This window comes from Homo sapiens, chromosome 16 (assembly GCF_000001405.40).
Source record: "Homo sapiens chromosome 16, GRCh38.p14 Primary Assembly".
Taxonomy (NCBI): Eukaryota; Metazoa; Chordata; class Mammalia; order Primates; family Hominidae; genus Homo; species Homo sapiens.
Window position 1 is genome coordinate 89,171,027 of NC_000016.10, and position 24,572 is coordinate 89,195,598.

At 62.9% G+C, this 24,572-nt stretch overlaps 1 protein-coding gene across 1 annotated transcript, besides 6 other annotated features; it reads left to right on the plus strand.

The window, feature by feature from the left end:
• Positions 158–797: a silencer, noted in NCBI's record as "silent region_7893". NCBI's record gives its function as "represses an Ori minimal core promoter by ATAC-STARR-seq in GM12878 lymphoblastoid cells {active_cell/tissue: GM12878}" and the evidence as "EXISTENCE:reporter gene assay evidence [ECO:0000049][PMID:35858748]".
• On the plus strand, positions 722–24,466 carry CDH15 (cadherin 15). Its single transcript, NM_004933.3, has 14 exons — positions 722–847; positions 8,390–8,548; positions 9,174–9,329; positions 12,522–12,666; positions 14,147–14,307; positions 16,403–16,531; positions 17,074–17,259; positions 19,217–19,470; positions 20,304–20,446; positions 20,629–20,868; positions 21,179–21,418; positions 22,444–22,580; positions 22,729–22,887; positions 23,836–24,466. Exons 1-14 carry the CDS (start codon positions 806–808, stop codon positions 24,127–24,129), a joined length of 2,445 nt encoding a protein of 814 aa, NP_004924.1. The 5' UTR covers positions 722–805; the 3' UTR covers positions 24,130–24,466.
• Positions 3,939–4,438: an enhancer, noted in NCBI's record as "H3K4me1 hESC enhancer chr16:89241373-89241872 (GRCh37/hg19 assembly coordinates)". NCBI's record gives its function as "activates a minimal SCP1, AML or CMV promoter by ChIP-STARR-seq in naive H9 embryonic stem cells {active_cell/tissue: H9 hESC(naive)}" and the evidence as "EXISTENCE:reporter gene assay evidence [ECO:0000049][PMID:30033119]".
• Positions 14,355–14,649: a silencer, noted in NCBI's record as "tiled region #11767; K562 Repressive non-DNase unmatched - State 7:EnhWF". NCBI's record gives its function as "represses a minimal TATA promoter and a strong SV40 promoter by Sharpr-MPRA in K562 cells {active_cell/tissue: K562}" and the evidence as "EXISTENCE:reporter gene assay evidence [ECO:0000049][PMID:27701403]".
• Positions 16,534–16,673: an enhancer, noted in NCBI's record as "active region_11396". NCBI's record gives its function as "activates an Ori minimal core promoter by ATAC-STARR-seq in GM12878 lymphoblastoid cells {active_cell/tissue: GM12878}" and the evidence as "EXISTENCE:reporter gene assay evidence [ECO:0000049][PMID:35858748]".
• Positions 21,265–21,594: a silencer, noted in NCBI's record as "silent region_7894". NCBI's record gives its function as "represses an Ori minimal core promoter by ATAC-STARR-seq in GM12878 lymphoblastoid cells {active_cell/tissue: GM12878}" and the evidence as "EXISTENCE:reporter gene assay evidence [ECO:0000049][PMID:35858748]".
• Positions 22,747–23,412: an enhancer, noted in NCBI's record as "H3K4me1 hESC enhancer chr16:89260181-89260846 (GRCh37/hg19 assembly coordinates)". NCBI's record gives its function as "activates a minimal SCP1, AML or CMV promoter by ChIP-STARR-seq in naive and primed H9 embryonic stem cells {active_cell/tissue: H9 hESC(naive and primed)}" and the evidence as "EXISTENCE:reporter gene assay evidence [ECO:0000049][PMID:30033119]".

The window sequence follows — 24,572 nt, forward strand, 5'->3', positions numbered from 1 at the left end:
TGGAAGGCGGGCCTAGCGTTCAGTGGGATGCGGGGAGGCGCAGGAGACGCAGCCAGAGAGGCGAGGGGCCCAAGGAAGTGCTCAAGAGGTGTCCCCCGGCAGGGACTACAATGCAGATTCCCTGGAGCAGGGGCGAGCCGGGCCCAAGGAGCAGGAAATGAAGAAGCCAGGAATCCCAGCTGGTCCCTGACCCGGACGCACCCACCCTGCCTTCCCCACAGCCTGGCCTCTGGCTCTGCTCCCAACGCAGCAAGCCGGGGTATCTCCGACCTAGCCCTGGCCCTGCCCGCCGGAACCCCGCAAAAGCTATCACTCAGCCCTCGGCCCCGCCCCGGCCCCACCCCGGCCCCACCCCGCACTCTCACAAGGTGTCACTCAGCCCTCGGCCCCGCCCCGCCCGCCCCATCCTCCTCTGGCTCCGCCCCACCAGCCTCGTGCGGTCACCGCCCCGCCGGCGCACCTGCGCTGTCACTCAGCCCTCGGCCCCGGCCCCGCCCCGCCTGCCCCACTCGCACACGGGCTATCACTCAGCCTGCGCCCCGCCCTAGCTCGCCAGAGGCTCCGCCCCACCCGCCTGCCAACACGCTGTCACTCAGCCTTAGCCCTGCCCAGGCCGGCCCTCGGCCCGTCAGAGGCCTCCTTCGTGCTGTCACTCAGCCCTTGCCCCGCCCCCTCCCCGCCCCCCTCACACGTGCTGTCTCTGTCTCTGGCCCTGGCCCGCCCCGCGCACTTGCGCTGTCACTCAGCCTGGACGCGCTTCTTCGGGTCGCGGGTGCACTCCGGCCCGGCTCCCGCCTCGGCCCCGATGGACGCCGCGTTCCTCCTCGTCCTCGGGCTGTTGGCCCAGGTAAGGCATCGGCACCTGCGGGGGTCCCCGCTGCCTCCCTCGACGCTGCGGGACAGTGTCTTCAACTGCAGCCGCACAGGTCTCCCCCAGAACCACTGGCCCTGGTCGCCTTTGGGGGCCTGTGAGCGGAGTGGCTCCGGGTGGGTCCCTGGGCTGGGGGCAGCACCCCAGGGGTTGTGGGGAGTGAGTGTAACCAAACACTCCATCTGGTGGAATCACCCCCAGGACTGCAGAGTGCTGCTGGGGTCAGGGACCCCAGGCAGGGGCCACCCAGGTAGCCGTGCCCTCTCTTTGGAGGAACCGCTGCCGGGGTCTGGGGGTTGCCAGTCTTGAGTGGAGCAGAGAGAGGGGGGAGCGGCAGGAGTGCCCCTCTCTGGGGGGCTGGGGGCCAGGTTTCTATAGGGACTCCCTGCGGTGGGCACAGGACCCCTGGCTAGTCTTGGGTTTTGTCCAAACCCCCCACCCCAAGTTCCTGGCCAGCAGGGGTGGCTGCAGGCCCTGCCCCCAGGAACTCACCCTCACGGCTACTTCTCGATTGGGAGGGCCCAGCCCGAGCCAGGTCGCAACACACGGCCTTGCAGAGTGGCGTGTGGCAGCCCTGGGGGCTCTGTTCCTGGGCTTCACCTGGGACCCTGCCGCAGCTGCCTGGGGTGATCAGGCCTGGGGGCCCAGCCCCCAGAGGCTGCTGGACTCTGCCCCTAAAAATCTTGTCTGGACTGCTGGCACCGTGGTCTCTCCAACGTGGGAGCAAGCCAGAGTGGAAGGAAGCCCAGGCCTCAGCCCCCCACACCCGACATGGGTACTGCCTAGCTGGAGCCACGTCTCCTCACACCCTAGGGGGACCTAGACATGGAGGATGTGGCCTCAGTGGCTTCAGCCCCCAGGGACTGGGCTGGGCTGGGGCATGGCCGGCTGTGGTTGGGACGTCACTGGGTACAAGAGGGCAGCCTCTCTCTGGCCAATTCGAGAGAGAATGCACATAAAGGGCTTAGCGGTGCTCACAGTATTCATTGCTCTTGTGGTCCTGGGGTGGTCAGGGAGTGCTGGACACAGTGAGTAAGGGAAGCCACTCCTTTCCCAGCCCCCACTGAAGGGGCTTCCTGAGTCCCCTCATTCCCACAGGCCTCCCAGCTCCAGCTGGCTCCAATTTCAGCCCCTGGCAGCTGACCAGGCGCCTGGCCAGCCAGACCCTCCAGCAGCTGCCCCTGAGGGCACCACGGCTCCTGCCACCCCCGACTCCCCCATCTGGAGACAGTGGTGGGGGGAGACAGTGGCTCAGCATGCGTGCTCACCCCCCGGCCCTCCACCCCTCAGCCCTCTGCCGGGGAGCGCAGGCTGGGGGGCTCCATGCCTCCAGGGCCCTTCCCCACCTGCTCTGGGGACAGGGTTTCTTCCCTGGCACCCCAACCCAGGGCATGGTGGTGGGGAGGCTGGCGCCTGTGAAAACATTCCTCCAGACCTCTTCCTTTGGATTTGGGAGTGTCTGCCTTTCAAAAGGCCCCAGGGGGCTCTGTGGCAGGTGGGGAGGCAGGCAGGACCTCTCCCTCCTCAGAAGCCTTCCCTCTCACTGTCCCTTCTTTTCTCGCCCAGGGCTGGGGGACAATAACCCCCTCCCCCGACAGCTGGAGGCTGGGGGAGGTGGTGGAGGTGGGGGCCAGATGGCAAGGGGACTATCGCCAAGGCTCAAATTCACTCCACTGTGAGGCAAAATATGTCAGTGTCAGGACCCTGCCTGCCCCTCCCCCAGCAGCTCAGCTTTCAGGACTGTGAGCTCTCCTGGGCAGCCTTGGGGTCCTGGGCCGCCTCCTGGTGAGCCCCCAGGCAGGCAGCGTGGGCCCATCAGGGCCTTCTACAAGTGAGGGGTTGCTCCCCTGCTCGGGCCACCTCTGATTGCTGAGCTCACTCAGCCCCACCCGGAGGGTGTCTTCAGAACTGGCCCCTCTCAGCCCTGCTGCACCTACACCATCCCTAGTTGCTGGTTCTACACCTGGGACCCCACCCCAGCTGGGAGGCGGCTGAGGTCTGGGGCAGCACACTTGACTCACAGAGAACCCCAGCCTGCTGGGAAGGTCCCCACTTCTGCATCTGGGTTTTGGGAGCCCCTTGGTCTCTGGGAGACAGTCAGCAGCACCCTGGGGGCCAGGCAGGGGCTCTTAGCTCGGGTGACTGTGACCAAGGCCAAGAAGGGAAGTGGCTCCCAGGCCACTGTTCTTCCCACAGTGGAAGGACAGCCCCAGACACCGTGCTTTGGAGGGGACAGCTGCCTCCATGCCTCTTCTTCCACATCCCTTCTCTGAAGCCCGCAGCAGCTAGAGAGGGTGGGGCCCAGGGAAGATGCTCCAGCCGCTCTGGGCCAGGCCAACAGCTGGGGCCATTCCTGGCATGCCTGGCCATCCAGGAACGGGGTGGCCCCAGATTCCAGCCTGGGGGAGGGGTTGAAGCCTGAGAAGCTTGAGGGGCCTTCGCACTCTCTTCCCAGGCAAACCCACCCACACGCCACCAAGCGTGTTCCTAGAATCTCGTAGCACCCTTCCTTGGAAAACCGGGGGAGCAGGAGTGCAAGGTCGGCCCCAGAACCGCTCCTCGTTCCCGTCTCGCAGTGGTGTTCGTAAACCCCATTCCCACCTCGCAGTGGTGTTTGTAGACTGCAGCAAGCGCCCAGTGTGTGCAGAGCTTTCTTACACAGCAGCCCCTTGGGGTTGAGTGTCAGGCTAGGAGCAGACCTCAAGAGAGGCGTTAAGTCCCAGGAGCTTGGCTGCAGGGCGGTGGCCCCAGACGTCTCAAGGGCTTCGAGGTGGTTCCCTCCAGGCTCTTGGCTAAGGGTCCAGTCGAGGATGAGCTTGGGGGTGTCATTGGGGACCCCCTGTGGGGAAGCAGGTCACTAATGTCCATGGGTCTTGCCTGGCTTGGGTGGGGGACAGAGAGGAGTGGACGAGTGTCCACAAAATCCACCTCCCAGGGTGCTTGCGTCCCCTACCCCAGGTGCAGGGCTGTGGGCTGGCTGCGTTGATGTGGCTTTGTCCTGGGCACCGGATGTCCCGATCTCCCCAGGACGGCTCCCAGGCCCTCCCTCCACTGGCCACGTCTTCTGGGACGGGGATGGGGTGGGAGGACAAAGAGCCAGCTTTGAGAACGCCCCCGAGAGCCGGAAGTGGGCCGTGGCCAGCCTGCTCACCCACACCCACATTGGCCGTGATCTGGGCAAGTGAGCCCTGCCAAGGCTCTGTGGCTGCTGTGACCTGGTGAACTCAGGCTGTGGACAGGCCTGGGCCCAGGACTCCCAGCCTCTGGCTTGACCACACCCGGCCCAGCGTGACTGGAGGGTCTCCGGTGGAGGCAGCTGGAGGTTGGGTGAACAGGGCTGGCCCAGGTTTGGTGGCAGCTGGGCAGGGAGGGGATGGAAACGTCTGCCCGGGTGGGGGTGGCCCCTCCACCTCAGCCGTGTGGGGTTCCTAGAGCCTGGGGTCTCCCTGCCCCATGCCCATGCCTAGCCCAAGGCCGGTGTGGCTCTGTGGCTGGATTTCCTTCAGAGCATGCGGTTCAGAGCCTAATCTGGGTCTCAGACCCCACGTGACTCCTGGCTCTGTCTGTGTGGCTTTGAGCAAATGCCTCAGGCTCTCTGAACCTCACTGCCCAGAGCTGGGAGGTGAAGGGACCACCACAGGCTCCCGGGGGGTTGGGAGGACCAAAGGGGAGGGGGAGAGGGAGGTGCAAAGCTGCCCAGCCACGGCCGGAAACAGACCCTGTGCCCACCGAGGCTGATGAAGGCCCCATGCTGGGCAGGCAGGTTTCCACTTGGCAGGAGCTGCCCTGCCCTGGAAGTGGCTTGTGCTCTGTGGGTGCTGGCAGGCTCCGAGGCCAGGGCCGCCATCTGTCAGCTGGCAGAGAGCTTCCCCGGCAGGGTCCCCTGCCTGGGAGCCTGAGGAACCCCCACCCCATCCTCTCCCTGCTTCCTGCCAAAGCGTTTGCTACTCTCTGGACTCCCAGGAGGCCATGGAGGAGGGGACTCAGGTCCTGCTGGCCGAGGACCAAGAACCCCAGGGAAGGTGGCCATGGTTTGGAGGCTGCTGCCGCTGCCTGTGGGGACCTCTGTGTGCTGGGCCAGCCCTGGGCACAGGACACAGTCAGAGCGAGAGGCCCCAGTGCCCCATCTCAGGGTGGGCAGATGGGCAGCCTGGGCCTTGCTCGTCCACACAGGGTAAGCGGCCGGTGGTGGAGGACAGAGGCCAAGCCTAATGGGGGTTCGGCCTGACAGGCTTCCTGGCCATGCCAACATCTCCTTCCCGGCCCCCGCCCACTCAGACTTACCAGCCCCCAACCGCTGCCTCCTCTCAAGGCCACATGCCCCCACGTCCCGGCCCCTGCCTAGACTGAAGTCTCGGCAAAGCCAGCAGGAGCAGGCGGCACTGGAGGGTGAGGCATTGGCACGGGGCTGAGGAGAGCGGGCAGCCTCGGAGCCAGCAGGGGCGTGGTGGTCAGAGTAGCTGTCGACACCTGTGGTTTTGCAGGGGGAGGGGCGGCCCAGCTGGCCCAGCTCTGACCCCCCGGTTCTCGGTGCTCCATTTCATGGGGCCCCACCCTGCCTGGAGCGGGTGCCCCCTTCCAGCGGGGAGCTGGGTGAGGCCTCCCACGCAGGGTCCCGCTCACCAGGGCCGACTCGGTGCTCCCTCCGCTCGCACAATGTGGGGAGCTGTTCTAGGTGTTGGTGTGGCGTGGCCGGCACACCTCTGTAGTAGGCACAGGACTTGGTGCCGGCTGGGGAGTCCCGTGAGCCTCCCTAGACCCCAGCCCACCTGCTGTCCAGATGAAGGAGCTCAGGAGCAGGCCGCGAAGACGGTGATGTGGAGATGGGGAAGGAGCTCAGGAGCAGGCCGCGAAGATGGTGATATTAAGATGGGGGCCCTGTCTGAAAGGGGAGCTGAGGAGTTTGTGTGTGGTGGGTGATGTTTGGGGCCTGCTCTGCTCCCAGACTCCCCATCGCCTGCCTGGGACCCCCAGCACCTCCCACCCGTCCCCCTGCCCGACATGGCAGCCCAGCAGCCTGAGGGCTTGTCCTGGGTGGGGGTGCCCCAGAGAGCATGGCCCGGGGTAGGGGGTCTCTGTCCCCTCCCAGCCGGGTGGTGCAGGAGGCTGCCCCGTCTCTGCGTTAGGGTCTGTTCCTTGGGGAGCTGCTGCCACCCCCACCACAACCCTGGCCACAGGGTCCTGGAAGCCTCCCACCCTGCCCACCCCAACTCAGCATCTTCCTCTGTAGCCCCTGTCACTGGGACGATGCAGACGCCACACCCTCACTACACGTGGTACCGGTGGGGGGCGGGAAGGGCCTCGGGTCTCTCACCCCCACAGCCCTGCAGTGGGGGGCTGGGAAGGTCGGGGTACCCTCGCCAAGGCTGATTGGGGCTGTGAGCGCTGGGCATGTGGGGCTGGGTGCTGGCCACACATGGGGCCTTAACCACAATGAGGTGAAAGGGGAACACAGCTCCTCACTTTTGCCAGGCACATTTCAAGGGCTCAGCAGCCCCATGTGGCCTGTGGGTCTTGGATGGTGAATATCTAGAACATTCTGGCAGCTAGGAGAGCGCTGTTGGGTGGGAGGGGGCCTCCAGGGAGGAGGGTCACCCGAGAGAAAGGCCGGGAGCCTGGCGACCCCCAGGACTAGGGAGGCACAGACAGCTCCTAGCCAGGCCCGGGGCACAGGGGACGGGGAGAGGGCACAGGGGATGGGAGAGGGCAGCCCTGTTTCCTCCTCCCTCATCTCCCTCTCCCCTGCCTCTCCCCCAGCCCTGGCCCCTGCTGCCCTCACCAAGTTCAGGCAGACTCTGTGCCCCAACGAGCTGCACCAGGCATCAGCCTGACCGGGGAGCTCGAGGGTGACCCCCATGTCCGTGCCGAGCCGAGTGGGGTCAGCCCAGAGCCATGTCCTGTCAGCTGCGGCAGCTTCCACCAGGCTGTGCTTTAGGGTCAGGGGTCTTTCAGGAAGAGCCATGCAGCCCACCCAGAAACACTGACTCCCCAGGCTCGGGGGTCCCAAGCACAGGTGTCCTGGGGATCCCAGGACAGGCAGGACCCGCCGTCTCTAAGCTTCCCTTTGACCAAGGTGGGGCCGGGCACCCCAGGAGGGAGGCCCAAGGCCCAGGCTAGGAGCTGGGTACGGTGACCGCATTTTTAAAACCAGAAAATTCAGGATGTGCTTTTGGGGTCACTACGAGTGCCCCTCTCCACCTGGCTCTTGGACTTGGGTCCCTTCTCTAGGCCTCAGTTTCCCCATCTGAGGGGTGGGTGTGGGGCTATCTGTGGTCACAAAAGTTGCTGACCGTCAGGACCTCGGGAGAATTTGGGGGCAGCCACCTCCACTTTGGGGTCTTTACCGGCCTGAGGGTCGTCCCGGCCCTGGAGTAGGGTGGGGTGCACAGCATCTCCCTCTGCACCCCACACTCTGCCCAGGCCCCATCCCCGAGCACCAGGGCTTCCCGTGTGCATTACAAACAGTGCGTCCCAGCCCCTGATGTGGGAGAGGAGGAGATGGGCACACCAGGGTCCCAGCAGCTGAAGTATTGGGGTGAAGAGATGAAGATTTTACCGAGGTACCCTGTTCTGGGAGAAGAAGAGTGAGGCTGGGGGTGGGGCTGCCCCTCTGTCCCCAGCCATGTCCCTCTTGGCTGTGCAGCCACAACAAGCCCCACCCCACCCAGCCCCACCGAGGCAGCCCTGGCCCCTGCCCAGTCAGTCTCAGGAACCCGCACCACCAGCGTTGGCTGCCCAGCCCTGACGTGTTGGGACCTGACAGACCAGCAGCAGCTGCAGGCCGGTTCAGCCACACAGCACAGTCCAGTTGGGGGCCGCTGTATGAATTACGGATACATCTCCAGCTGCTCTTGATGGACTGGAGCTGAACTCTCGCATCCCGGGGTTCAGTTCCCACAAAGCAGCCTGGAGAGGTGGAGGGGGACGGGCACTTTCCTGCAGGCACCTCCCCTGCCGCTCCCCCGGACCCTCCACAGCCAGCCCACTGTGCCCACAGGCACCGCCACTGGCTTCTTGGGGTCATTCCGTGTCAGGACCCCACGCTCTCCCCAGCCCTGGCTGGCCCAGGGGCTTTCCGTGTGCACCGCTACCCTGGCACCTGGGGCGAGGCTGTGTCCCCGCCGGGTGAATCTCAGGTGTCCCTCCCAGCCAGAGGCCTGGAACCCTAGCGCTACCTCCCAGTGGCCCATGCACTCGCCAGGGGCTGCAGACAGCCTGGCTGCTGAGTGGGCCCAGTAGGAGACTCGGGGGCAGCTGGATGGGGGCTTTGAGGGCCAGTACTTGGGGTGTGGCCACCAAGGCCCTGGCTCAGTCCGACGGGGGCGGGGCTCACGTGCCTTTGCCCTTGTGCTACGCAGCCCCGTGTGTGGAAGCCGCCTTGCGCCAATGGGCACCGACCCGTGGGCTGAGGGAAACACTGCGCCCCGTGGCCTCCTCACCACCCACAGCTCCCAGCTGCACGCTGCCGCCCAGGGCTCCAGGAGACGGTACTGTGGGACGCATCTGTCTTTGTTGCAGAGCCTCTGCCTGTCTTTGGGGGTTCCTGGATGGAGGAGGCCCACCACCCTGTACCCCTGGCGCCGGGCGCCTGCCCTGAGCCGCGTGCGGAGGGCCTGGGTCATCCCCCCGATCAGCGTATCCGAGAACCACAAGCGTCTCCCCTACCCCCTGGTTCAGGTGAGCAGGTGGAGGGGGCAGGAGGGGAGAAAGGGGTAGGCTGGTCCCCAGTGGGCCTCCCTCATTCTCTAAAGGTCTCCTGGGAGCCAGCGGGGCCCCATTTCAGGACAGAGCTGAGGCAGGACTCGCCCACCTTGCCAGGGCTCTGGGCTTCCAACCTGGGTCTAGAGCAGGGCTCAAACCCTCCCCATTGCCCCAGGCCACAGGGGAGTCCAGAGCTGCTCCCACCCCACATGCGCCTCGGGTGGACATACTCCACGTTAGGCTGCACGCTCGGGCGTGATTTTTGTGTGCGTGTTCGCCGACGCTGAGTAGATGGAGGTGAAGGTGAACTGCCTTGCGTGGGCCTCAGCTTCACATACCCAAAATCGCCCCAGAGACCAGGGCCCTGAGGACACCAGGAGCTGAGCCTGAAATGAGGCTGCAAGACGGGGCACCCTTGGGGCCACAGGCTGAGCTGTCCCCAGCCCAGCACAGCTCCTCATTGGGTACCAGGATCCGTCCTCCAGTCCTAGGAGACTTAGACCTGCCCTGCTGTCAGCTGGGGAGGGGCCTGAGGGGCTGCAGAGAGGGCAGAGGCCCCCGCCCGGAGCAGCTCTCCCCAAACCCATTTCCTGCCCCACAGATCAAGTCGGACAAGCAGCAGCTGGGCAGCGTCATCTACAGCATCCAGGGACCCGGCGTGGATGAGGAGCCCCGGGGCGTCTTCTCTATCGACAAGTTCACAGGGAAGGTCTTCCTCAATGCCATGCTGGACCGCGAGAAGACTGATCGCTTCAGGGTGCGGAGCTGCGTGGTCGGACCTGTGCCCCTCAAGCAGGCCTGGTGGAAAGCCAGTGCCCCTCCTCCCCACCAGGCTTCTCCTCCCCGCTCGGTGGGCTTCAGGCCAGACTGCAAGATCCAGGCACCCTTAAGTGAGGGGGCAGGTACAGGGGTTTGGGACCGAGGCCCTGCAGCCGGAGGAGGCAACTGTTGAGGGTTATGTGCCCATTTAACTGGAGGGCAGACAGAGGTCCCGTGGAGGAGCGGCTTGGTTCTGCCAGGGAGGAGCATGCTGCAGCCGCTGTAGCTTCTGTGGCTCAACCACAGCCAGCAACCCACTGGTCCTGGGAGCTCAGGAGTGTCGTGAAGAATCTCTAAATAGTGTTGTTTTTGTTTTTTGTTTTTGAGATGGAGTCTCGCTCTGTCGCCCAGGCTGGAGTGCAGTGGCGGGATCTCGGCTCACTGCAAGCTCCGCCTCCCGGGTTCACGCCATTCTCCTGCCTCAGCCTCCCGAGTAGCTGGGACTACAGGCCCCTGCCACCATGCCCGGCTAATTGTTTGTATTTTTAGTAGAGACGGGGTTTCACTGTGTTAGCCAGGATGGTCTCGATCTCCTGAGTGAGCCACCGCGCCCGACCTTTTTTTTTTTTTGAGATGGAGCTTCACTCTACCGCCCAGGCTGGAGTGCAGTGGCACAATCTCAGCTGACTGCAATCTCTACCTCCCCAGTTCAAGCAATTCTCCTGCTTCAGCCTCCTGAGTATCTGGGATTACAGGCTCCACCACCGTGCCCAGTTAATTTTTGTATTTTTAGTAGAGATGGGGTTTCACCATGTTGGCCTCCCAAAGTGCTAGGATTACAGGCGTGAGCCACCACACCTGGCCCCAAAATAATGTTGATCCCAGTGGCCGCCACTGTTCTGGGCAGTGGGGTTAGTCAGGGAAGAAACCACTGATGCCCCTTGGGGGCTGGGATTCTCAGAGAAGGGGCAGTGAGCGCCGGGCGCGGTGGCTCACACAATCCCAGCACTTCGGGAGGCTGAGGCAGGAGGATCGCTTGAAGCCAATAGTTCGAGACCAGGCTGGGCATCAAAGTGAGGCCTTGTCTCAACAAAAGATAAAATGGTAAAACAAAAAAGATAAAATGGTAAAATAAATTAGCCAGCGGTGTTGCTGCGTGCCTGTGGTCCCAGCTGCTTGGAAGGCTGAGGTGGGAGGATCCCCCGAGAGGTCGACACTGCCGTGCGCCGTGATTGCGCCGCTGCGCTCCAGCCTAGGTGACAGAGGAAGACCCTCTCTCAAAAAAAAAAGAAGAAAAGAGGACCGGGTGCGGTGGCTCACGCCTGTAATCCCAGCAGTTTGGGAGGCCAAGGCAGGCAGATCATGAGGTCAAGAGATCGAGACCATCCTGGCTAACATGGTGAAACCCCGTCTCTACTAAAAAATACAAAAGTTAGCTGGGCATTCTAGCGTGCGCCTGTAGTCCCAGCTACTCAGGAGGCTGAGGCAGGAGAATCGCTGGAACCCGGGAGGCGAAGGTTGAAGTGAGCTGAGTCCTCGCCACTGCACTCCAGCCTGGTGACAGAGTGAGACTCTGTCTCAAAAAAAAAAACAGAAGAAGAAAGAAGAAGAGGAGGAGGAAGAGGAGGAGAAGAAGAAAGAAGAAGAAGAAAAAAAAGGGCAGTGGGAGCAAGCCCTAGAGCCCAGAAAACCAGAACCCCGTCTGCACTCCCTTCAGGCGCCTGCCCTCCCCCAGCCTCCCCTCCCCCAGCCTGCCCTCCCCCAGCCTGCCCTCCCCCAGCCTCCCCTCCCCCAGCCTGCCCTCCCCCAGCCTCCCCTCCCCCAGCCTGCCCTCCCCCAGCCTGCCCTCCCCCAGCCTCCCCTCCCCCAGCCTGCCCTCCCCCAGCCTGCCCTCCCCCAGCCTGCCCTCCCCAAGCCTCCCCTCCCCCAGCCTGCCCTCTCCCAGCCTGCCCTCTCCCAGCCTGTCCTCCCCCAGCCTGCCCTCTCCAAAATGTCATTTTGGGCTGGGCACAACGGCTCATGCTTGTAATCCGAGCACTTTGGGAGGCCGAGGCGAGTGGATCACCTGAGGTCAGGAGTTTGAGAACAGTCTGGCCAACATGGCAAAACCCCATCTCTACTAAAAATACAAAAAATTAGCCGGGTGTGGTGGCACGCGCCTGTAATCCCAGCTAGTTGGGAGGCTGAGGCAGGAGAATCACTTGAACCCAGGAAGTGGAGGTTGCAGTGAGCCAAGATCACACCACTGCACTCCAGCCTGGGCAACAGAGCGAGATGCCATCTCAAAAGGTAAAAAAAAAGAAAAGTAACTTTGTACTTGATGTGGGGAAAGGACGCTTCCTGCCTTTGCCTCTGCAGGAAGCAAAATTTCCTTTTATTTGCCCCAAATCCTCCTTTAGACTTTGAGAACCAGTCCTTGTATCCCTTACATCAAAAGTTATTAGAGAGTATTTCTCACTTGGAAACTGTAATTGTGCCCATTCTCCGAAAGGATGGGAGGCAGTTTAAAATGTCATGTGCACAGGGGAATTAAACTTCAGGAGGAGGCCAGGCGCAGTGGCTCACCCCTGTAATCCCAGCACTTTGGGAGGCCGAGGCGTATCACCTGAGGTCAGGAGTTTGAGACCAGCCTGGCTAACATGATGAAACCTCATTTCTACTAAAAATACAAAAAATTCGCTGGGCGTGGTGACGTGCACCTGTAATCCCAGCTACTTGGGAGGCTGAGGCAGGAGAATCGCTTGAACCCAGGAGGCAGAGGTTGCAGTGAGCTGAGATGTCGCCATTGGACTCCAGCCTGGGCAACAAGAGTGAAACTCTATCTCAAAAAAAAAAACAAAAAACAAAAACATAACTTCAGGAGGAACAAAGACCACAGAGAGACAGGGAGAGAGATTAGGAACCCTCTGAGAGCCTTACTTTAGTCACACGTGAAGCTGTGAGCTTCCTGGCTGCCAAGGCAAGCAGGGAAAGTGGCACCTGCCCTGTCTGCTAAGGGAAGGTGGCTCCCGTTCAGGGACGTCCTCAGTCACTGTGACAGATGCCCCACCCTGTGCTGTTTCTCGCCTGTTTAAGCTGGTGTTTCCAGCTGGAGACAAAGTCTGAACGTGCTGTCTCTTTCGCATGGCCCTAACGGGAGCCACAGAAATTTGGGGGCCACAGAGCCAGCCCTTGCTCTATGTTTGAACAGCTAAGAGCGTTTGCCCTGGACCTGGGAGGATCCACCCTGGAGGACCCCACGGACCTGGAGATTGTAGTTGTGGATCAGAATGACAACCGGCCAGCCTTCCTGCAGGAGGCGTTCACTGGCCGCGTGCTGGAGGGTGCAGTCCCAGGTGAGACAGGACCACAGCCCCGGGCCGGGAGGGGCTGCAAGGAAGGGCTCTGTGAAGTCCAGGACTTCCCTTAAGCAAGAATTCCAGAGGCCCCTCAGAGTCTAAAAATAAGTAAACAAGTCTCCGAGGCAGGTCCGTTTCCACAGGTCAACTCCTGCCACTTCCCATTCCAACATAAATTTCAAACCCAAAAATCTGAGCCTGGGAGTGGAGGTTTTTCAGGGGTCTTGTTCTCCCCCAAAAGCAAATGACTTCTCCCTCCTGCTGAGGGGGCCATCTGGAGCCAGGCACACTCCATCCTCACCCTGTACTCACATGGGGTCCAGAGCACCCACAGGCATCTCTAGGTTGTGATTCACCCTAAACCCAGGCTGACCTGTAAGCTCCAGCCACGGGGACTCGCTCCCACCTCCCTGGGGGCCGGTGGTAAAGACCTGGTGGAAAGGCACAGGCCCCCTCGTGTCTGAGGCTACCAAGGACTGTGGCCAGGCCTGGCCCAGGCTCAGGCTTGGAGGCTCATATCCCGCCTCAGTTTCCTTCCCGTGTCTGTGGCAGTGGCCTCCGCGCCTCGTTCTGCCCCAGGTGACAGACAGCACGTCCTAGCTCCAGCTGTCCCGGGGGGAAGTCACAGCCAGCCAGGAGCTGCTCCCCAGGGTGGCCCAAAGCCCGTCCTTCCCACCCCACCTCGGTGGCTAAGTCCACCTGAGCTGCCAGAGGGGTCAGGCCTAAATCTCAGGAGAGGGAAATGGGGGGAGGTGAAACCTGGTCCTGCCATATGTGGTCCCTCTAGCGGCACCTTCGTGAGTACCGCTTCCCACAGCAGGTGGGGCGGGGGCTCTGGCCTACACAGTCACAGTGCGCGTCCTCTGCTCGGCTGTCGTGTGTCCTGCACCCAGCCTGCCCGCGCATCCTCTGTTTTATCCTGCCCTTGCATCCTCTGTCTTATCCTGTCCGTGCGTCCTCTGTTTTATCCTTCCCCTGCGTCCTCTGCCCAGCCTGCCCGTGCGTCCTCTGTCTTATCCTGCCCGTGTGTCCTCTGTTCAGCCTGCCCATGCATCCTCTGTCACCCTGGATGCCAGCAGCTCCTGGAGGCCCCCGCTAGCTAGCCCAATCTGACCCAGCGCCCTTAGCCCCTGCACTGGGCAGGCCCAGGAGCCAGCACCTGACCCAGGTCGCATCCAATGCTCCTGTGCTCCGACCCCATAAACAGCACAAGCCGGGCAAAAGGCTTCGACCACATAGGTGGCCTGGACACAGCACGGTGGGCTTCAGGGGCAGCGGGAAGCATCTCGACCTGGGGGTTGCCGCATGCTGGCCGCCTCGGTGACGCAAACAGCAGCATGGACTGACTGCCCCATCTGGGGTCAGCCGTGCTGGAACCGGGGAGCCTGTGCACACGAGGTGCCCCCACGCCCCTCACAATGCCCCCAGCCCATCGGCCCTGTGGACGTTGGCCCTCACGCCTCCCTGTGCTTCCCAGGCACCTATGTGACCAGGGCAGAGGCCACAGATGCCGACGACCCCGAGACGGACAACGCAGCGCTGCGGTTCTCCATCCTGCAGCAGGGCAGCCCCGAGCTCTTCAGCATCGACGAGCTCACAGGAGAGATCCGCACAGTGCAAGTGGGGCTGGACCGCGAGGTGAGGTGGCGCCCCGGCAGCTCCACACCCGCACGGCCAGGGCAGCCCATCTCCTGCGGGTCCCTCTGCCCCCAGCCTGCCCACCCCAGACGCTCCTGTCCCTGCCGTCACTGCAGAGCTTGCAGTGGCCCTGGCTCCTGAGGAGATGGCATGGGGTGAACCCACTGATGCGCAGACAGGAGCCGCGCTGGCCCGGGTGGGAGGGGTCTGGTGCAAGTAGGGCGTGAGGGGCCCGGCACAGGGCAGGGCTCCCCAAGCAGCCCCGCCCCTCTCAGCCTCATGGCAACGGCTCCCCGCTGGTAAGTAACTAACTCCTTCTGTCAGGGCCCCTGTTGCCCCTTGCTGTCGGACTTCGGTGCTCCCGGAAGACCCCCCTTGAGTCAGCTCCTCTAGGAAGCCCTCCTGGTTACACTGTTACGTGGTCTTTGTCCATTTCTGTTCCTGCCACTAACCACGGTTCCCCAGGGCAGGGACCCAAGCTCACTGGTGTGCTAGGTGCCCAGCACAGAGTAGGTGCTCTGTAAATGCTTACCCAGCGCACAGTAGGTGCTCTGTAAACACCCAGCGCACAGTGGTGCTCTGTAAACGCTTATCCAGCACACAGTAGGTGCTCTGTAAACGCTTACCCAGCGCAGAGTAGGTGCTCTGTAAAGGCTTACCCAGCGCAGAGTAGGTGCTCTGTAAATGCTTACCCAGCGCACAGTAGGTGCTCTGTAAACACCCAGCGCACAGTGGTGCTCTGTAAACGCTTACCCAGCGCACAGTAGGTGCTCTGTAAAGGCTTACCCAGCGCACAGTAGGTGCTCTGTAAACGCTTACCCAGCACACAGTAGGTGCTCTGTAAACGCTTACCCAGCGCACAGTAGGTGCTCTGTGAACACCCAGCGCACAGTAGGTGCTCTGTAAACGCTCACCCAGTGCACAGTAGGTGCTCTGTAAACGCTCACCCAGCGCACAGTAGGTGCTCTGTAAACGCTCACCCAGCGCACAGTAGGTGCTCTGTAAAGGCTCACCCAGCGCACAGAAGGTGCTCTGTAAAGGCTCACCCAGCGCACAGTAGGTGCTCTGTAAACGCTCACCCAGCGCACAGTAGGTGCTCTGTAAAGGCTCACCCAGCGCACAGAAGGTGCTCTGTAAAGGCCCACCCAGCGCACAGTAGGTGCTCTGTAAACGCTTACCCAGCGCACAGTAGGTGCTCTGTAAACGCTTACCCAGCGCACAGTAGGTGCTCTGTGAACACCCAGCGCACAGTAGGTGCTCTGTAAACGCTCACCCAGCGCACAGTAGGTGCTCTGTAAACGCTCACCCAGCGCACAGTAGGTGCTCTGTAAACGCTCACCCAGCGCACAGTAGGTGCTCTGTGAACACCCAGCGCACAGTAGGTGCTCTGTAAAAGCTCACCCAGCGCACAGAAGGTGCTCTGTAAACGCTTACCCAGAGCACAGTAGGTGCTCTGTAAACGCTTACCCAGCGCACAGAAGGTGCTCTGTAAACGCTTACCCAGCGCACAGAAGGTGCTCTGTAAACGCTTACCCAGCGCACAGTAGGTGCTCTGCAAACACCCAGCACACAGTAGGTGCTCTGTAAACGCTTACCCAGCACACAGTAGGTGCTCTGTAAACGCTTACCCAGCACACAGTAGGTGCTCTGTAAACGCTTACCCAGCGCACAGTAGGTGCTCTGTAAACGCTTACCCAGTGCACAGTAGGTGCTCTGTAAACGCTTACCCCGGGCACACAAGGTGCTCTGTAAACACTTACCCAGCACAGAATAGGTGCTCTGCAAACGCTTACCCAGTGCAGAGTAGGTGCTCTGTAAACGCTTACCCAGCGCACAGTAGGTGCTCTGTAAACGCTTACCCAGTGCACAGTAGGTGTTCTGTAAATGCTTATCCAGTGCCATAGGCTAGGGCAGCATCACAGCCTCATGCACTTAGGATCAGGGCAGGATTCTCAGGGCCACTTGGGGTCTTCAACACCCACTGGGTGCTCCCGTAGGAACTGAGCTGGCCAGGTGGCCTGGCTCCCACCCCTGACCAGTCCCCATGTGCCCCACCTGGGCCCTCATCTTCTGACCCTGTGCCCCACATCCCCAGGTGGTCGCGGTGTACAATCTGACCCTGCAGGTGGCGGACATGTCTGGAGACGGCCTCACAGCCACTGCCTCAGCCATCATCACCCTTGATGACATCAATGACAATGCCCCCGAGTTCACCAGGGATGAGGTGCTGCTGCTGTCCCTCCCTCGAAAGTAGCCCCTGCTTAGAGCTGCCTTCCCTTCTTGGGCTCCTGCAGAAGGCAGCGGGCTTCATGATGGGGCAGGAGGATGGTGTGCTTTGGAGAAGGAACTCCGCGTGGGCGGGTGGAAGCCCAAGCTGGAGGGGCCCCGGGGTGCTGCGTGGCAGTGTGTGAATGGAGTCAGAGTTGGGAGAGAGGCCCTTGGGGAGAAGCAGCCCATGGGACCCTCTGAGGCCCTCTCGCATTGCAGAGCAAGTCTCCCTCCGGCCTTTGCTGTATGGGAAGGGAGCACGAAGCTGAGCCCACAGAGGAGGACCATGGGGGCACGTGGGGGACAGTGACTCACAAAACAGACAAACCTGAGGACACCCAGTGGGTGGGGAGCAGCTTCGACAGGAGCAAGGGAGGGTGTTCCTGCTGGGAGGCAGGAGGGAGGGTGGGAGGGGAGGGTGGGCTGAGGGCCCTGAGGGCCCCACCCATGCTGTCCCCCCAGCCCTGCTGGTAACTGGGGCTGGGATCCCCCACCCAGTTCTTCATGGAGGCCATAGAGGCCGTCAGCGGAGTGGATGTGGGACGCCTGGAAGTGGAGGACAGGGACCTGCCAGGCTCCCCAAACTGGGTGGCCAGGTTCACCATCCTGGAAGGCGACCCCGATGGGCAGTTCACCATCCGCACGGACCCCAAGACCAACGAGGGTGTTCTGTCCATTGTGAAGGTGAGCGGCCCCCGGCTGGCACACAGATGCCGGCAGACGCAGATGCCGACACACACAGATGCCCACACACAGATGCCGGCACACACAGATGCCCACACACAGATGCCGGCACACACACATGCCGGCACACACAGATGCCCACACACAGATGCCGGCACACACACATGCCGGCACACACAGATGCCCACACACAGATGCCGGCACACACAGATGCCGGCACACACAGATGCCCACACACAGATGCCGGCACACACAGATGCCCACACACAGATGCCGGCACACACACATGCCGGCACACACAGATGCCCACACACAGATGCCCACGCACAGATGCCGGCACACACAGATGCCCATGCACAGATGCCGGCACACACAGATGCCCACACACAGATGCCGGCACACACAGATGCCCACGCACAGATGGCGGCACACACAGATGCCGGCACACACAGATGCCGGCACACACAGATGCCCACACACAGATGCCCACACACAGATGCCCACGCACAGGTGCCCACACACATGCTGGCACACAGATGCCCACGCACAGGTGCCCACACACAGATGCCCACGCACAGGTGCCCACACACAGATGCCAGCACACACAGATGCCCACACACACATGCCCACACACAGGTGCCCACACACAGATGCCCACACTGTCCACACACCGATGCTGGCACACATAGATGCCCACACACAGACACCCACACACAGATGCCCACACACAGGTGCCCACACACAGATGTTGGCACACACAGGTGCCCACACACAGATGCCGGCACACACAGATGCCCACACACAGATGCCCACACACAGATGCCCACGCACAGGTGCCCACACAAAGATGCCGGCACACACAGATGCCCACACACAGATGCCCACACACAGATGCCGGCACACACAGATGCCCATACACAGATGCCCACGCACAGGTGCCCACACACAGATGCTGGCACACACAGATGCCCACACACATGCCCACACACAGATGCCGGCACACACAGATGCCCACACACAGATGCCGGCACACACACATGCCGGCACACACAGATGCCCACACACAGATGCCGGCACACACAGATGCTGGCGCACACAGATGCCCACACACAGATGCCCACACACAGATGCCCATGCTGGGGTTTGAGCCCCTTCCTGGCAGGTTCACATCCTCTGACCAGCTGGGACCTTGTGTTCGTCCTTGGGTGAGAGAGAGTGGGGGAGGGCATGGAGCCCCCCAGCCTGAGGACTGGGTCCCAGGCCACGCTACCCATGGGGCTTGAGGGCCAGAGGCAGGGGACACCCTCCACCACTTTGCTCTGTCCAGCCTTCCTCCTTTCATATGGAATCCATGTACAAAATCACAGCTGCACACCTGTGTCAGTCCTGGTTCTACCAGAGAAAGAGGCCATAGGAGACACATGCACAGATATGTCCACACGTGTAGATGTGGGTGTATTTAGATACTGACACAGTAAGAGGTTTACTGCAAGAAATTGGCTCATGCGGTGCTGGGGTCTGGCTGGGCAGGTCTAACGTGCAGACCACAGGCTGGAGCCGACGCAGCAGTTTAGAGGCAGAGAAAATGCAGTTTTGCTCTCAAAGCCTTCACCTGAGTGGATAAAGCCAACCCACATCACCCAGGACGATCTCCTTTATTTAAAATCAAGTGACTGCAGGGGCTGGCGCCATCCCCCAACGGCCCTCGCTGAAATACCCGCGGAGTATGTGCTTGAACCCTGGGCTGCTCCCCAACCACCACCACACACAACCAGCATTTTAATAATATTCTTTGTGCCTTCTTGTCCTGCATAATTTGTTTTTTCAAGGTTAAAAAGGGGCAGAAGGAAAGTACAGGTGCTCTGGACAGACCCAAGGAGTGGCTCCCCCATGGCACCTGCCCTCGGGTGCCCACACTTGCGTTGGGCGGATGACGGGCTGTGCTTCCTTCCCTCAGGCCCTGGACTATGAGAGCTGTGAACACTACGAACTCAAAGTGTCGGTGCAGAATGAGGCCCCGCTGCAGGCGGCTGCCCTTAGGGCTGAGCGGGGCCAGGCCAAGGTCCGCGTGCATGTGCAGGACACCAACGAGCCCCCCGTGTTCCAGGAGAACCCACTTCGGACCAGCCTAGCAGAGGGGGCACCCCCAGGCACTCTGGTGGCCACCTTCTCTGCCCGGGACCCTGACACAGAGCAGCTGCAGAGGCTCAGGTGGGGCTCCTGAGGCCCTGGGAGAGGTAGAGGAGGCTAACGGCCCCATTCCTGCTTCGGGTGCCCCTGATCCCTGGGCTCTGAGGGTCAGAGGGTGTAGGGGCCATTTGCTGTGTGGGTTCCTGAAGGTCTGGAGGGTCTCGAGTCCCGAGCATGCCCGTGTGTGCATGTTGGGGTGACCTCACCCCCTAGGGCAGGCCCAACTCCAGCCTGTGCACGCCAGTCTGTCCCTGCCAGCCGTGTCCATCCCAGGAGGCCCTTGCTCCCAAGGGACTGGCCGTTCGCATCTCATTTCACTCCAAGCCTGGCCCTGTGTATCCCTGTCTGTGTCCACGGGGCCCGGGAAGGGCCAGCACCAACTGAGGCTTAACTAGGTTGCCACACAATTGTCTCAGCGCCCTGGACAGCTCGCCTGCCCTCCCTGAGCCTCAGTTTCCTCACCTCACAGAAGGTGCTGGTGACTGCAGCTCCCATCATATTCACATGGGTTGTGTGTACATGTGTATGTGCATATGTGTGTGCACATGTGTGGTACATGCGTGTGGTGTATAGGTGTGTGGGGGGTGGTATGTGCAAGGTGGGGGGGAGTGTCTATGTGTATATATGTGCATGTGTGTGTGCTGTGCATGCCCATGTATGTGTATGTGGTGTGTGCATGCATGTGGCATGTAAGGCTGTGTGTGCGTGTGTATATGTTGTGTGCATGTGTGCATGCATGTGGTATGTATGTGTGTGCCTGTGTGTGTGCAGTGCATGTCACGCACCCATACCTGACCACACCTGTGGGGCCCTGGGGTAAACTCAGATCCCACTCTTCCCCTCCCCTGCATCAGCTACTCCAAGGACTACGACCCGGAAGACTGGCTGCAAGTGGACGCAGCCACTGGCCGGATCCAGACCCAGCACGTGCTCAGCCCGGCGTCCCCCTTCCTCAAGGGCGGCTGGTACAGAGCCATCGTCCTGGCCCAGGATGACGGTGAGCGGCGCCGCCGGCTTGGGGCTCCCTGACCTGGCCTTGTCCCGGCTGAGCACCCCTGCCAGTGTCGGAGGGCTCTGCCCATGTCGCCCGGGGGCTCAGAGCTGCGCACCCGCTCTGAGCCGACTGGTGGGGCAGGCTGGGGTGTTGGGGTCACTAAGCCGCGGCCTCCTCGCCTGCAGCCTCCCAGCCCCGCACCGCCACCGGCACCCTGTCCATCGAGATCCTGGAGGTGAACGACCATGCACCTGTGCTGGCCCCGCCGCCGCCGGGCAGCCTGTGCAGCGAGCCACACCAAGGCCCAGGCCTCCTCCTGGGCGCCACGGATGAGGACCTGCCCCCCCACGGGGCCCCCTTCCACTTCCAGCTGAGCCCCAGGCTCCCAGAGCTCGGCCGGAACTGGAGCCTCAGCCAGGTCAACGGTGCGCTCCCCTCACCGCCGCGCTCCCCCCATCCCCACGCTCCCCCCACCCCCACATTCCGGCCTCGGACGGGGGCAGGAGGGTGAGGGGCATGCAAACCCGTGGTCCTGCAACAGGTCCCCTCCCGCCACCCCCCCCACCACTGCATCCTCCCGTGGGGCAGGGTTACTCATTGTGCCCAGAGGACGGTGGGGGTGGGGGGGACCCAGGCCCAGGATCTCGGGATCCCCACCCTGTCTCGGCGCGAGGAGGGCAGGCGAAGTGGGGGCGGCCTCGGGAGGCCCTCGCTCACCACAGGCGCCCTCCGCAGTGAGCCACGCGCGCCTGCGGCCGCGACACCAGGTCCCCGAAGGCCTGCACCGCCTCAGCCTGCTGCTCCGGGACTCGGGGCAGCCGCCCCAGCAGCGCGAGCAGCCTCTGAACGTGACCGTGTGCCGCTGCGGCAAGGACGGCGTCTGCCTGCCGGGGGCCGCAGCGCTGCTGGCGGGGGGCACAGGCCTCAGCCTGGGCGCACTGGTCATCGTGCTGGCCAGCGCCCTCCTGCTGCTGGGTGAGTGAGCGCCCCGCCTCCACCTGGACCCTCGGACCCTCGGACCCTCCTCCCCAGGCCGTCCCCTGCTAACCAGCCACGCCGCTTCCTCCCCAGCTCCGCCTCCTCCCTAACCCCGCCCCCTCATTACCAGCCACGCCGCTTCCTCCCCAGCTCCGCCTCCTCCCTAACCCCGCCCCGTCATTACCAGCCACGCCGCTTCCTCCCCAGCTCCGCCTCCTCCCTAACCCCGCCCCCTCATTACCAGCCACGCCGCTTCCTCCCCAGCTCCGCCTCCTCCCTAACCCCGCCCCCTCATTACCAGCCTCGCCGCTTCCTCCCCAGCTCCGCCTCCTCCCTAACCCCGCCCCCTCATTACCAGCCTCGCCGCTTCCTCCCCAGCTCCTCCTCCTCCCTAACCCCGCCCCTCAGTACCAGCCACGCCGCTTCCTCCCCAGCTCCTCCTCCTCCGTAACCCCGCCCCCTCAGTACCAGCCACGCCCCTTCCTCCCCAGTTCCACCTCCTCCGCAACACCACCCACTCATTACCAGCCACGCCGCTTCCACCCAACCCGCCCCCTGCTCGCCAACCCCGCCCCCTCATTACTAGCCACGCCCCTTCCTCCCCAGCTCCGCCTCCTCCCTAACCCCGCCCCCTCATTACCAGCCACGCCCCTTCTCCACTGCCGCCTCCTCCCCAACACCACCCACTCATTACCAGCCACGCCGCTTCCACCCAACCCGCCCCCTGCTCGCAAACCCCGCCCCCTCGTTGCCAGCCACGCCTCTTCCCCAAGCCGGCCTCTCCTTACCAGCCAAGCTCCCTCCTCCACAACCCGGCCCCCTCCTCCCTAACCTCGCGGCTTCCTCCCCAACCCCGGCTCCTCCATGCCAGACACGCCCTTTCCCCAACTGCCGCCCCCTCAACCCCACCCCTGCTTACCAGCCTTGCCCCGCCCCGCCCCCTCCTCCCACCTCCTTCGCAGCCCGGCCCCCTGAAGTCGCGCCCTGTGCCTGGCCCCAGCCTGCGTCCCCTCATTCCCCAGTGCTGGTCCTGCTCGTGGCACTCCGGGCGCGGTTCTGGAAGCAGTCTCGGGGCAAGGGGCTGCTGCACGGCCCCCAGGACGACCTTCGAGACAATGTCCTCAACTACGATGAGCAAGGAGGCGGGGAGGAGGACCAGGTGAGGGGGCAGGTGTGGGTGGGGAGGGGTCCCCAAGGAACCCAGGTCGCGGGCCTTCTTACAACAAGCTGGCCAGGAGCCTGTACCTGAGACCTCCACCAGGGCCACCCGAGGGATGCCTGGCTCTGTTCCACCTCCTCGCCCACAGGACGCCTACGACATCAGCCAGCTGCGTCACCCGACAGCGCTGAGCCTGCCTCTGGGACCGCCGCCACTTCGCAGAGATGCCCCGCAGGGCCGCCTGCACCCCCAGCCACCCCGAGTGCTGCCCACCAGCCCCCTGGACATCGCCGACTTCATCAATGATGTAGGTGCTCCTGGGGACACCCCAGTACACACAGGCACGCACAGGTGCACACACACATGCACATGTACACACCTGCACATGCATGCAAGAACCGGCGCCTGCATGCACTTATGGGCCGTCCCAGAGCACCGCAGAGGAAGATGGTGTGCGGGCGGGAGTGTGGAAGCCCCGCTGCCACCGTCCAAACTGGGCCCTCAGCCTCCACCCGCGACGCGGGTCTTTGCACAGATGGAGTGGCGATGGCCACAGACCCATCCACTGCCCCGTGTCCACCATGGAGGGGGTGGGGGAGCCCCGGGAGCATCCCCTGGGCTTCGGTGGCTGTCAGCGGAATCAGGGCCTCCATAGAAGACCCTCTGGACACAGCGTTAATGATTCCCTGCCATCCACAGGATGAATGTGCACACGGGGAATCTGGGGTGTGGGGCGCACAGGGAACCCTCCTCTGTGCCTGTCTGCACCTGTAGCACCTGGCTCAGAGAAAGCCCCCAGCCAAGGTGTACACCCCCGGTTAGGAGCGTGTGTCCCCACGAGCTGAGAGGACAGACATGCAGACAGAGCCTCCGAAAGGCAGACGGGCCGTTCTGCGGATGGGGGTGTCCAGGAGGCTCGGGTTCTGCCTTGAGTGGACAAGGGCCACGGGGAGGAAGAGACCAGGGTGAGGGGGAGCAACCCCTTCCCACCTTGCTGGGGCAGGGCAGAGCCCCGGGGGACGGGCTGGCCGCTGGCCTAATACTGAGGAAGGGGGTAGTCCGTGGCACCCTCTTCACAACCCTGCTGCTGTGCCCTCAGGACGCTTTGCCTCCCCTCAGACCTCGCCCCCGGACGTGGGCAGCTTCCCCTTCCTGAGCCCGTGCCTTGAGCTGACTTTGCCCTGGGCTGTGGCCACGGCGGTGGGGCACCCGCTGGCCCCTCCATGTGTCTTGAGCTCTCCGGGCCTCTTTATAGGGCTTGGAGGCTGCAGATAGTGACCCCAGTGTGCCGCCTTACGACACAGCCCTCATCTATGACTACGAGGGTGACGGCTCGGTGGCGGGGACGCTGAGCTCCATCCTGTCCAGCCAGGGCGATGAGGACCAGGACTACGACTACCTCAGAGACTGGGGGCCCCGCTTCGCCCGGCTGGCAGACATGTATGGGCACCCGTGCGGGTTGGAGTACGGGGCCAGATGGGACCACCAGGCCAGGGAGGGTCTTTCTCCTGGGGCACTGCTACCCAGACACAGAGGCCGGACAGCCTGACCCTGGGGCGCAACTGGACATGCCACTCCCCGGCCTCGTGGCAGTGATGGCCCCTGCAGAGGCAGCCTGAGGTCACCGGGCCCGACCCCCCTGGGCCTGGGGCAGCCTCCTTCCTGTAGGCGAGGGCCCAAGTCTGGGGGCAGAACCTGAGTGTGGATGGGGCGGCCAGGAAGAGGCCCCTTCCTGCCGGGGTGGGAAGAGTTTCTCTCCATCGGCCCCATGCGGGTCACCTCCCTAGTCCCACCTTTGCCTCCTACCAGTGAACCTCATCTTTGTATGAAAGACAGCAACCTCCTGGGTAAATCTGAATGAAAAACGTGCTAGTCTCTTTCATGCAGGACGGGCGCCCACTGCCACACTGACCATGAGGGGGATGGGGCCAGTGAGGCCTGGCCTGGCAGGGACCTGAGGGCCAGGCCCCCATACCACCCTGCTTGGCTGGG

Excerpts from the sequence above, each read along its gene's own strand:
- CDH15 (NM_004933.3), top strand. The coding sequence starts at position 806 with ATGGACGCCGCGTTCCTCCTCGTCCTCGGGCTGTTGGCCCAG. Across the intron at positions 22,581-22,728 it reads GAGGCGGGGAGGAGGACCAG|GACGCCTACGACATCAGCCA; the intron begins GTGAGGGGGCAG and ends CCTCGCCCACAG. Across the intron at positions 22,888-23,835 it reads TCGCCGACTTCATCAATGAT|GGCTTGGAGGCTGCAGATAG; the intron begins GTAGGTGCTCCT and ends GCCTCTTTATAG.